The sequence below is a fragment of the Homo sapiens genome, chromosome 7 (assembly GCF_000001405.40).
Source record: "Homo sapiens chromosome 7, GRCh38.p14 Primary Assembly".
Lineage (NCBI taxonomy): Eukaryota > Metazoa > Chordata > Mammalia > Primates > Hominidae > Homo > Homo sapiens.
The window spans coordinates 56644444-56658339 of NC_000007.14; the positions used below are offsets into that span (position 1 = coordinate 56644444).

The window sequence follows — 13896 nt, forward strand, 5'->3', positions numbered from 1 at the left end:
GATAAAATTTAAAAATAATAGTTATTAAGAAATAGATAATGATTTGGAAATTATATGCTGGACAGTGTTCTAAGTAACCTATGGTATTACTGTTTTTAGGAATTCTGTGAGCTGGGTAGATAAAATCAACTATTCCACAGTAGAGGTATTTGCCATACAGCATTTAAATTTCTAAGCTTAGTTCCTGCTTAAAAAAAGATACTTTCGAAGTGAAATAGATGTTTAGATTTTCTTGTAATCAGAAGCTTTGTGCTCTGATAAAAGTTCTCACTTTCATTTTCTGTATAAAGAATTGACTGGAAATTATAAAGCAGAAGACACATGACATCTGTCCCTAGCCTCTCTCAAATCTCTTGACCAAATCTGAATGTCTCCCTAGTCCTCTCACAGATGTCTAACATAAGGCACAAACAGATTTTTAAAAACAGCTTAACATAGTGGTCTCCAAAAATCTGCACAAATTTTCCAGATCCCTCAAAGAAACAGAAGAGCAGTTAGATTATTTAGAACCTCACAACATAAAAAGAGGAGTTTGTCTCTCACTGTGAATGCACCAGCAGATTATTAAATGAACTGAAGACAGAGAATTCAAAAGCCTAATAAGCATACACCAAAAAATTTTCTTCCATGACAGTAAGAGGCTTTTCAAGAATCAATTCCATTGGAGAACAGCTTCCCAATCCACATTTTAAGCTCTTGTTTTCTCCTTCACCTTTGGACATTTCACATATGTTATCTGCTAAATCATTCATACCTATCTGAGTGTATGGCTATTCTCTCCACTCTTCTCACATTCTGGTAATATTTTCTATACTGCAGAAGGTAACCAGGTCTAGCTTAAAAGACTTTCCAACACAACCTTTCTTTCACTCAACTGCAACTGGGCTAAGTAAAGCACAATCAACTCCCAGTATTACCCTCAGGAGAGATCTAGAAGAGTGGGTCTGTTTAAAGTTCTGAAATTATACGAGATGGTCTAATTAATAGAGTCTGTCTCCCTCAACATGAAAATGATGGAGTAATGAGAATTATAGTTTGTATGTACTAGATGAAAGGTGAATGTTGCAATAGTAGAGGAACTGCAATGCCACAGTCAACTAGGGAAGCAAAAAATTATAGAATCTGAAAAGAAAATGAGAAAAAAATCTCTTTAACTTAGAAATTACACACAAAAGTCCAAAGACACAACTGAGAACATGTTTGTGAAGCACTGAAAATCTATAGCCTGGCTCACTGCTGTAGCCAGTCTTTAAGCAAATCCTTAAATATTAGATTAGAAGGCTGTTTTTAAGTTTCCAAATTTCATAAAAGGATCACATGACATAAAAAGAAAACATACCCCACTTGAAGAAATAAATTTCCAAAACTCAATCCTTAAGAAGATCTTTGCATTATCTGACAAAGATGTCAAAATAATGATACTAAGTATGCTCAATAAGAACAAAAACAAAAAAAGAACCCAGAAGAAATTGTGGAACAGAAAAATAATTGTTGAAAAATTTTGTAGAATCACAACAGAATAACTGACCAGAAGACAAAAATCAGAAAACTAAAGACATGTTATTTATAAATATGGAGTCATGAAAAAAAAATTGAAAAACATCAACATGGAATATGTAACTTATTAGATACCATTAAGGAGACCAATATATTCATGAAAGGATCCTTTGAAGAAGAATGCAGGGGAAAAGTCATAGGTAGAGAGGTTATTTGAAGAAAAAAGGGACTAAGAACTTCCCAAATTTCAAGGTGATGAAAAAAAAATGCTACCAACCAAGGATACTTAATCTGGGAGAAATTTACTTTAAAAATAAGAAAAAAATAAAGACTTTCTAATATGAACAAAAGGTAAGGGTGTTCATTACCCCTAGAACAGTCTTATAAGAAATACTACATGGAGTCCATTATGTTGACAGACATCGTGGTTCACACCTGTAATCCTAGCAACTTTGTAGGTTGAGGCAGAAGCAGCATCATTTTAGGCCAGGAGTTTGAGACCAGCCTAGGTGATATGGTGAGACCCCTTCTCAAAGAAGAGACCATTATAATAATTTTGTTTTTCAGGGAGAGGGTTTTAAAACCTGCTAGGGCTAAAGATTGATTGGAGTCATTTTGAAAAGGCAGGCCCTCATTCAGGTGGCAAACTTGAAAACCCTTGGTCTTGGCTACAGACCAAGAAATGGTTCACCTATTTTGACCCCACTTAAAATTTTGCAGTGACTCCATAACCATCTCCAGCTCCTCCCAGCCATAGTCTAGGAGTGGTTCTGCACATCCAGGGACCCAGAGTAAGATGCCTATTTGTGGTTACAGTGGTAGGTCTGCAGACCTTGGCCTTTACTGTGCTCTCTGAAACAGTTCAGAGACTCAGTTTCAGCACTGATAGTCACAGTTTGTGGCCAGTTCTACCAACCTAAGTACCCAGAGAGTGAACTGGGGAAATCCTGCCACATACTCAGTAAGAAACACACATCAGGCCCACCATATACCAACCCTAATGCACAACACTGCCCTAGAGCTAGCCCTACAGATCAAAGTCCTAAAGGCAATTCAATCTGCCAAGAAATAAGACAGGATTAACAACTACCCAGGCTCCTGGTAACAAACCCACAAAACGCAAACTCCATAACAGACCAAGAAGCAGCCATGTGACCCACGTATAACCCCTCTCCACTGCATACCCAAAAAGGATTCTACCAGCTAATTGACCCAAGAGAAGATTTTTGTCTGCTGAAATCAGACTATAAAATTGGAAAATTTAGATTCAATAAATCCCCTATTAAAATTTTAGTAAAATTTTTCAAAGTAATAGAAAATGCAATCTTAAAATTTATATGAAATTACAAGAAACTTTGAATAGCCAAAGCAGTTTTGAGAATTAAAAACAAAGCTGGGGCATTATACTTTCTAATTTTAAACTACGTTTGAAGGCTATTGTAATAAAAACAGGATGCTCTGTGGATAAAAATGCACACCGATATCAGTGGAGCAGAATGGAGAGCCCAGAAACAAATCCATTCATGCGAGATCAACTCATCTTTGACACTGAGGCACTAAGAATACACAATGCAGAAAGTACAGTCTCTTCCATGCTTGGGGCTGGGAAAAGGGAATACCCACAAGTAAAAGAATAATATTAGACCACTTTTCTTACACTGTATTTAAAATTAACTAAATATAAAATAAGGACTCTAATGTATGACAAAAATCTCGTTTTTTTTTTTTAGTATTTATTGATCATTCTTGGGTATTTCTCGCAGAGGGGGATTTGGCAGGGTCATAGGACAATAGTGGAGGGAAGGTCAGCAGATAAACAAGTGAACAAGGGCCTCTGGTTTTCCTAGGCAGAGGACCCTGTGGCCTTCCGCAGTGTTTGTGTCCCTGGGTACTTGAGATTAGGGAGTGGTGATGACTCTTAACGAGTATGCTGCCTTCAAGCATCCGTTTAACAAAATTCTTAATAATCTTAAAAGAAAACATATTAAAAGACCTTAATATTGCTCTTCGAAATAAATTTTGGGATACGACAGCAAAAGTACAGCAATAAAAGCAAATATAGACAAATTAAACTGCATCAAACTAAAACACTTCTGCATAACCAAGAAAAAACAGAATAAGAAAACCATACCTGGTAAGTGGTTAGAATCAAAAATATATAAGAAACTCATACAAATAAAAGGTAACAACTATACTAATAGTAATAATAACAAGATTTAAAAGATAAGCCAAGGACTAAATAAATGTTTATTAATGAAAACATTTAATTGGGCAACGGGTATATAGAAAGGTGATCAATGTCACCAATCTGGCAGATGCAAATTAAATTCATGGTGAGATATTACTTATACCTGTTAGGATTGCTAATATCAAAAAGAAGATTTATAGCAAGTGTTGACAAGAATATATTAAAGAAAAGAAATGCTTTACGTTCTTGGTGATGTGTAATTTTTTGAGACATTATGAAAACCAGTATGAAGGTTCTTTAAAAATTTTTTTAATAGTACTACTGTACAATTTAGCTATCTCACATCTGCATTTACAATAAATTTACTATCTCAAAGAAATACCTGCACCTCCATGTTCATTGAACATTTTTCACAATTGTCAAGATACAAAAGCAATCTAAAGTGTTTGTGGAAACTGACTGCACAAAGAAAACATGGTATATATACAAAACAGAATATTATTCAGCCATAAAAAGTAATAAAACCCTGCCGTTTCTACAACATGGATGGACCTAGATGACATTATGCTAAGTGAAACATGAAAGAAACAGAAAGTATAATCTCACTTCTATGGAGAATATAATAAGGTTGGACTCCTAGAAGAAGAGAGTACAGAGATGAGTGCTAGGCCGTGGAGGTGGGGAAAGTGGGATATGTTGTTCAAATGGTACAAATGTTCAGTTAAAAGACAAATAAGTTATGGTAGCCTAAGGTACAGCTTTATGACTATAGAAAGTAATACTGTTAGGCATGCTGAAAATTTGCTGAGATCTTAATTGTTCTCACTACAAAAAAGGTAAGTAAGTAAGGTCATAAATGTGTTTGTTCACTAATTTGATTGCATTAATCATTTCATTATGTATACAGATATAAAATCAATACACTGTATACACTATATAGGTATTCAATTTGTGAAAAACATTTGTTACTGAGATTATATATGTGTGTCATACACATACATATATACACGTGTTTATATATATACACACATATGAATGACAGTCACAGTAAGCTTTATACTAAATAAAATCACAAAATGATGTCATTTAAAATAAAGTTAAAATTGAGAGTTTAATATGTACTCAGCAATGTTTCAAGCTCTCCAATGACATAGTATATTTAATAAATGTATGAAGTAGATACACTGAACTATATTACAGTTGAGGAATTTGGCCACATTTACGAACATTTGTTTATATGAAAAGAATAACATTTGAAGTAACACAATTTTAGAGTTTGTTTCATTTAGGGAGATGCTTAGTGTTTTGATATAATTACTGAGTATAAATTCCCATAAAATCACATTTGAAGCCTCCATAGAATAGAAAATTATAAAGCAGGAAGCACACATCTTTTTGTGGTGTTCCTGGGATTTCTGATCCAAACTGCAACATCACCAAAACTTATATATTTAGACATTATCCGAAAAGAGAACTTAAAAAATGGTTTAATATAGAGTTTCTCAAAAATACAGATATTGCTGTTTCTCCCAAGCAATGGAAAAGCAGTCAAATCACACATTTTCTTTTAAGCCATGAAAACAACTTTCATTATCACTGTAAACTTAAAGAAAAAAAACCAGCAAGAACAACAACAAAATACATTACTGAAGGTGAAGTACAGTGCTTGGAAAATTCACAAGAATGGGACAAAAAATGTCCCTATGTTAAAGCAAGAGAAAGAAATGAAGGCTTCCCAGAAATGATTTCCACTGGAGCAGAGCTTCTGGAAGCACGTTTAAAGGTCTGGCTTCCTCCTTGACATTGGGATCCGTCTTTTGTGTCATTTGCTTCATTCACTCCCACCTACCTGGGTGTTTGGCTACTGCCTCCTGTCTCTTCACATTCCAGGGCTCTTTTCTTTGCTCCAGACAGGTCATCAAGTCTGGCTTAAAGATAGCAAGACCTGTTTTATTAGAAAAAAATAACATGACTCTTGCTAGGATAATCCGATTACTAATCTAGTACTATGCTCAGTAGAGAAGAAAGAACATTATAGAAGACTCTAGAAAATTAATTCCAATCTACTGTTTACTAACATAAACTTTAGAATATTTAGAAAGTATTTTAAATTTGTGGGTTCTTAGCTCTATTACCCAGTGATACTGAATCAAAAGTCAGTTGTGAAAATTGCATTTTTAGGTGTGGGTAACAATATTTTATGCATTAAATTTCTGATATTACCACTAATTTAGACTCTACACAGATGAGCTCAAAAAAGGGAAAGATTAATGTTAAGATGAAACATCTTAAAGATTATATTTTCTACCTGAACAGATACCCAATTTTTTCTTTTTGAAGCAGGATTCTGGAACTCACTTATGCAAAGCAGAACTTCCAAAAAAAAAACCAGAATAAAATATTTAATGTAGAATATGAGTTGTATATTGAAGTTATTCTCACCCAAGGAGACCAGATTTCTGTAGTTCTCCAACATCACATCCCTATACAAACGCTGCTGAGCAGAGTCCAGGCATTCCCACTCTTCTGGGGAGAATTCTACAGCCACATCCCTGAATGTCAACACTCCCTGGAAAACAAAACATATTTACCAAGTGACCATAGAAAGAACTCCTGATTTGACGTCAGGTAAAATGAGAGTAAAGAGAGCTGGTTCTGACTTACATGAGTTACTGAAGTTATCCAATAGGATACTTTCCAGCACAGAGATATTCTCTAATGTATTTTTAACTCTGAGAAAAGGTGGCATAAGATCATGAAACCAGTGTATGTGCAATACTTTTCTTGATGATACAGTTTAAATAAAGGACATTAACACAGGTATGTACATTTCTTAATGCTATATTTACATAATATAAGATGAGTTGTCTATACTTCCCATATGGAAACTTCATGGTGAGTTAAAAGCATACTTCTCACATCTTATTCTCAAATCAATTAACAGGAGATCTTGTTAAAATGTAGATTTTGACTCTGAAGATCTAGGGTAAAGCTTGAGTTTTTGAATTGATAGTTTGCCAGTGGTATCACTGCTTCTGGCCCAAGGAGAATATTTTGTCAAAAATTCAGTAAGTGGCACAGCCTAGGTTTTTAGTTTATTTGACCAGTAAAGAAAGACGAGAGCCTTCACTTTCCATAGGAAGCGATATGCAAAGAGAAGGTAAGAAGAAGAGCTCTCAGATTAAATGTGGTTTAATCTTGTTTTTGCACATCACTTGATAAAACTCCCCAAGGTACCTATTAAAAATAAAGAGTAAAATAAGTAACTCTAGAGTGAAAAAAATATGTCAAAGAGCATATTTACCAAGTAAATAAATGAAGATCAACTACATTAAAAGAAATTTGTATCAGGTGCTGATTAACAAAGAAGGATATGACACTACTGTGCTATTATTAACATTAACACAAAAAAGGGTGAACTTAATCTGAGTCTAGTCATGAAGAAACATCAGTTTTGAGCAAAAATTTAAGCTACAAATATCTTCCATGTTCTGTAATCTCTAATGGTGTATATAAATAAGTCTTTCTTTTTTTTGGTTAAACTTTTTTTTTTAACTTTAAGTTCTGGGATGCATGTGCAGAACGTGTGGTTTTGTTACATAGGTATACATGTGTCAAGGTGGTTTGCTGCACCTATCAACCTGTCATCTAGGTTTTAAGCTCCACATGTGTTAGGTATTTGTCCTAATGTTCTCCCTCCCCTTGCCCCCAATCCCGACAGCCATCAGTGTGTGATGTTCCCCTTCCATGTGTTCATGTGTTCTCATTGTTCACCTCCCGCTTATGAGTGAGAACATGCAGTGTTTGGTTTTCTGTTCCTGTGTTAGTTTGCTGAGAATGATGGTTTCCAGCTTCATCCATATCCAAGCAAAGAACATTCTTTTTTATGGCTGCATGGTATTCCATAGTGTTTATGTGCCACATTTTCTTTATCCAGTCTATCATTGATAGGCATGTGGGCTGGCTCCAAGTCTTTGCTATTGTAAATAGTGCTGCAATAAACATACAAGTGTATGTGTCTTTATAGAATGATTTATAACCCAGTCATGGGATTGCTGGGTCAAATGGTATTTCTGATTCTAGATCCTTGAGGAATTGCCACACTGTCATCCACAATGGTTGAACTAATTTACACTCCCAAGAATAGTGTAAAAGTGTTCTTGTATCTCCACATCCAAGCCATCATCTGTTTCCTGACTTTTTAATGATCACCATTCTAACTGGCATGAGATACTATCTCATTGTGGTTTTGATTTGCATTTCTCTAATGACCAGTGATGATGAGCTTTTTTTCATCTTTGTTGGCTGCATAAAGGTCTTCTTTTGAGAAGTGTCTGTTCATATCCTTTGCCCACTTTTTGATGGGGTTGTTTTTTTTTTCTTGTAAATTTGTTTAAGTTCCTTCTAGATTCTGGATATTAGCCCTTTATCAGATGGATAGATTGCAAAAATTTTCTCTCATTCTTTAGGCTGCATGTTCACTCTGATGATAGTTTCTTTTGCTGTGCAGAAGCTCTTTAGTTTAATTAGATCCCATTTGTCAATTTTGGCTTTTGGTGTTTTAGTCATGAAGTCTCTGCCCATGTCTATGTCCTGAAGCCTAGGTTTTCTTCTAGGGTTTTTATGGTTTTACATTTAAGTCTTTAATCCATCTTGACTTAATTTTTGTATAAGGTGTAAGGAAGGGGTCCGGTTTGTTTTCTGCATATGGCTAGCCAGTTTTCCCAGTACCATTTATTACATAGGGAATCCTTTTCCCATTGCTTGTTTTTGTCAGGTTTGTCGAAGATCAGATGGTTGTAGATGTGTGGTATTATTTCTGAGGCCTCTGTTCTGTTCCATTGGTCTACATTATCTGTTTTGGTACAAGTACCATGCTCTTTTAGGTACTGTAGCCTTGTAGTATAGTTTGAAGTCAGGTAGCATGATGCCTCCAGCTTTGTTCTTTTTGCTTAGGATTGTGTTGGCTATATGCACTTTTTTGGTTCTATATGAAATTTAAAGTGGTTTTTTTCTAATTCTGTAAAGAAAATCAATGGTAGCTTGATGGGAATAGCATTGAATCTATAAATTACTTTGGACAGTATGGTCATTTTCATGATATTGATTTTTCCTATCCATGAGCATGGAATTTTTTTCCATTTGTTTGTATCCTCTCTTATTTCCTTGCTTTAGCATCCTAGAGAAGAAGTCTCTTCTAATTATTTTTTATTTAGAACTTTCTGAGTTATCCTGGGCAATAAAGACCATTCTCATTAAATGTGTGTTTTTACAAGCAGTTTTGCATAGATTTAATGGAAGCTAAACAGTACATGGTCTCCTTCACTGATAACCAAGCACCTGATCCCATCTCAAACAAGAATCTTGGGCATCCACATCTTTCTATGTTCTACAGCCACAAAAGGAACATTTGTAATGTTGCAGGTTATAAATTCATGGTGACAATTTTTTCATGGCTTATTAAGAGCTGGGATGTAGAGAATAAAGATGGATCTGTGATCCCTTCCAGGTGTGACTAACTGCACAAATTAAACCTGTTTCTTGAGAATACGCCTTTGAAGCATCAGTGAAACTCCTTCCCTTGAAACCGCCACACCCACAGGCAGAAGGACCTAGAATTGCAGATAAAGTCTGCCTTTCTTTGTCCTTTATCACAGGAGAGGTTCAGAACCAGTAAACTCCTACATAAAAACAAAATGTGAGTTTCCCCTTTCCAGTACTCGTTGCCCTTCTCTGCCACAGATGCCAGCAATTTCTACTGCAGCAATGGGAATACGGGCCGCACTGACCTGCCCCTACCAAACCCAAGCAGAGCAGTCTCTATGATCTTTATCTGGGACTAAAACTAAACTCACCTCTCGTGAATGTATCTGAAAACACTTGTGGTTGACGCTGGGCTCACCTTAGCCTCACATGTGGCACTTAATTCAAACAACATGGCTGCAGGGGAGAAGAGGAGCAAGATGACTTAATAGCACCCTCCAGCAACCATCCCCCGAATAAAACACCAAATAGAATGACTATCCAAATAAGAAGCATCTTCATAAGAACCAAAACTCTGGGGAGCGATCACAGGACCTAGTTTTAGCATCACATGAAAGAGGGACTGAGGAGGGTAAACAAGAAAGCTGTTAATTGCCAACAGCAGCCCTCCTCCATTCCCTGGCAGTGCAGCTTGGCAGAGAGAGAAAATCCATGTGCTTACAGAAGGGAGAGTGCAGTGATTATGAGACTGTGCAGTAAAACTCAGAGCTGCCTGTCATAGCAGAAAGCAACATGGGGCAGAATTCAGCCAGAGCCTACAGACGGAGCACTCAGACTAGCCATAGTCAGAGAGGAAGTGTCCATTTCAGTAATCAAAACCTGAGTTTCAGGTAGCCCCATCACCATAGGCTAAAGCGCTCTGGGGTTCTAAATAAACCTGAAAGGCAGTGTAAGCCACTGGGACTGCAATTTCTGGGCAAATCCTGGTGCTCTGTGAGATGCCAACTGGGATGGCCAAGAAAGTGCCTGCATCATCCTTACCCCAGGCACAGGCAGTGTAGTTCACAGCTCCAGGAGAAAATCTTTCTTTCTACTTGAGGAAAGGGGAGAGAAGTGTAAAGAAGACTTTGTCCTGCAACTTGGACATCATCTCAGCCACAGTAGAATACAGCACCAGAAAAAGCCCTGAGGCCCCCATTCTAGGACTTAGTTCCTGGGTGACAGTTCTAGACATAGCCTGGGCCAGAAGAGAACACACTGCCTTGAAGGGAAGGTACCAGTTCTGGCAGGATTCATCACCTTTGGCCATGAATAAACATCAGCAGTAACCAAGTAGTACTTGCTGCAGCCCCTGGGGTGTGAGACCCAGTGCAGTGCAATCCAAGCTGTGGCAGCCATGTGGAGAGACTTCTGCTTGAGGAAAAGAGAGGGAAGAGTAAAAGAGGCTTTGTCTTGAAGCTTGATTACCAGCTCAGCCATAGTGAGGTAGCAGTAACAAGATAGCTCCTGAGGTCACTGATTTCAGGCCTTGGCTCCTGGATGACATTTCTGGAACCACCCTGGGCCAGAAAAGAACCCACTGCCCTGAAGCAAAAGAAGCAGGCCCAGCAGAGTTCACCACAAGCTGACGCAAGATCCTTGGGTCCTCACTGGATATCAGCAGTAGCCTGGAAGTACTTACTGTGGGCTCTGGGTGGTGGTGACCATGGGGAGTGGCTTCTTATGCTTGAGAAAGGAGAGAAAAGAGTAGGAAGGATGTTGTCTCATGGCTTCAGTGCCAGCTAAGCCACAGCAGAATAGGGCAACAAGTAGATTCCTAAGGCTTCTGACTCCATGTTCTTCCTACCAAATGGCATTTTGCTATCCCCAGCCCAGGATGAGTAACAGAGCTCACTGCCCTGAAGGCAAGGACATAAGCCTGGCTGGATTCACCACCTACTGACTGAAGAGAACTTGGATCTTGAGTGAACATCAGCAGTACCTAGGTAGTGGTCACTGTGGACCTTATGTGAGAGCCAGTCCTGTGCTGGCTTTGGGTCTGACTTAGTGTAGTCCTAGTGATGGTGGCCACAGGGGTGCTTGTGTTTCACTGACCCTAGCCCCCGGCAGCTCAGTATGGAGAGAAAATTCCACTTATTTGACAGAATGTAAAAAAACAGAAAAAGAGTCTGCCTGGTAACCCAGAGACTCTCTTGGTTCTTACCTAAGACCACCAAGGTGGTACCTCTACAAGTCTGCAAGCATCACAGTGTTATTCAGGTTGGGGTGTCCCCTAATGCAGATATGACTGCAATGATCAAAGACTTAGATTACAACACTCGATTCCCTTTGAATACCTGGGAAGCCTTTCTAAGAAAGACAAGTATTAAAAAGCCCAGAATGCAAAGACTAAAATAAATGCCTGACTTATTAATGCCCAGACATTAATGAACATCCACAAAAATTAAGACTATTCAGGAAAACATAACCTCATTAAAACCAAATAAGGCACTAGTGTACAAATCCTGAGAGACAGAGATATGTAACCTTTCAGACAGGAAATTCAAAACAGCTGTTTTGAAAAAGCTCAGCAAAATTCAAAATAACAACAAAAAAAAAGAAATTCAGAATCTGATCCAATAAACTTAACAAATTGATTAAAATCATTTTGAAGAATCAAGCAAAAATTCTGGTTCTGAAAATTTAAATGATATTGAAGAACGCATCAGAGTCTCTCAACAGCAGAACTGATCAAGCAGAAGAAAGAATCAGTGAGTTTGAACACAGGTTATTTGAAAAGATACAGTCAGATGAGATTTAAAAAAAAGCCTCAAAAGGGCTAAGAGTTATGGCCTTCAAGAGGAGGTAGAAAAAAAGTTCTGGGTAGAAAGTTTATTCAAAGGTATAATGAGAACTTCCCATACCTAAAAAATTAATATTCAAGTATAAGAAGGTTGTAGAATACTAAGCACAATTCACTTAAATATGACCACCTGAATGTCTTTAATAATAAAATTCTCAAAGGTCAAAGATAAAGGATTCTGAAAACAGCAATAGAAAAAAAACAACATTCAAACAAGTACCAATATGTTTGACAGTGGACTCTTCAGTGAAAATCCTACAGGCCAGGAGATGGTGACATGACATACTTAACATACTGAAGGAAAAAACTTTTATCCTAGAATACACCCAGCAAAAATATACTTCAACTATTAAAAAAAAACAACTAACAAACAAGATGAGAGATTTTATTAACAGCCCCAGACCTGTCCTACAAAAAATGCTAAAGGCAGTTCTTCAGTCTAAAAGAATAGAACATTAATGAGCAACAAGAAAACATCTGGTACCAAACTCACTGGTAATATGAAGCACACAGACAAACACAAAATTTTCTAGCACCGTAAATGTGGCGTGTAAACTATTCATATTTTGAGAAGACTAAAAGATTTGCCTATACTTAAAATTATTAAAAATAATAACTCTCTACCTCCTTTTTAAGGCCATAACTCATATTTTGACTTTTTAGATAACTGTCATAGTTATCCAAAATACTAATTAAAACAAGTTTAAGACATAGACAGTATAATAAGATATAAATAGAAACAACAAAATGTTAAAAAGTTGGGAGAAAAAGTTAAACTGTATTTTTTATTAGTTTTTCTCTTTGCTCGTTTGCTCATTTTTACAGTAAGTGTTAAGTTGCCATCAGTTTAAAATAATGGGTTATAAGATGTTATTTGCAAGCCTTATGGTAACCTCAAATAAAAAACTTACAATAGACACACATACATAAAATCAAAAATGAAAACATACCAGTAGATAAAATCATCTTTACTAAAAGAAAGACAGGATGAATGGGAGAGAGAAAGAGAAAATACCACAAAACAACAAGAAATCAGATACCAGAATGGCTGACATAAGTCTTTACTTACTAACACTGAATATAAATTAATTTAACTCCCCAATCAAAAGACATAGATTGGCCAAGTGGGTAAAAATAAAAACAAGACCCAACAATCTGTTTCCTACAAGACACACACTTCACCTATAAAGACAAAGACAGACTGAAAATGAAGGGATAGAAAAAGATATTCCATGCAAACAGAAATCAAAAAAGCAGGAATAGCTACACTTACATTAAACAAAACAGATTTCAAGAAAAAAACCATAAAAAGAGACAACAAAAGTTATTATATTATAATAAAGTGGTCAATTCAGCAAGAGAATATAACAATTGAAAATTAATATGCATATGCACCTAACACTGGAAAACTCAGATATATGAAGTAAATATTAGAGATAAAGAGAGATCAAACCCCAATACAATAATAGCTAGAGACTTCAACAACCCACTTTCAGCAGTGGACAGATCATCCAGATAGTAAAATCAACAAATAAACATTGGACTTAATCTGCACTGTAAACCAAACAGACCTAATAGATATTTACAAAGCGTTTCATCAAGAAGCTACAGAATACAAATTCTACACCTCAGCCCCTGGGTTATTTTCAAGGATAGACCACATGTTAGGTCACAAAATAACTCTTAAAATAATCTCCCCCCAAAATAAAATTATATCAAGTATTTTCTCTGATGATAATAGAATAAAACTAGAAATCACTAACAGAAAAAACTCTGGAAACTATACAAACACATAGAAATTGAAATATGCTCCTGAGTGACTGGTGGGCCCATACTGAAAGAAAAAATTAAAATGTTCTTGAACAAAATGAAAATAAAAACATAA

General features: G+C 36.4%; 1 pseudogene; it reads right to left on the minus strand.

The window, feature by feature from the left end:
- Positions 5163–6255, minus strand: LOC100533632 (zinc finger protein 736 pseudogene; annotated as a pseudogene).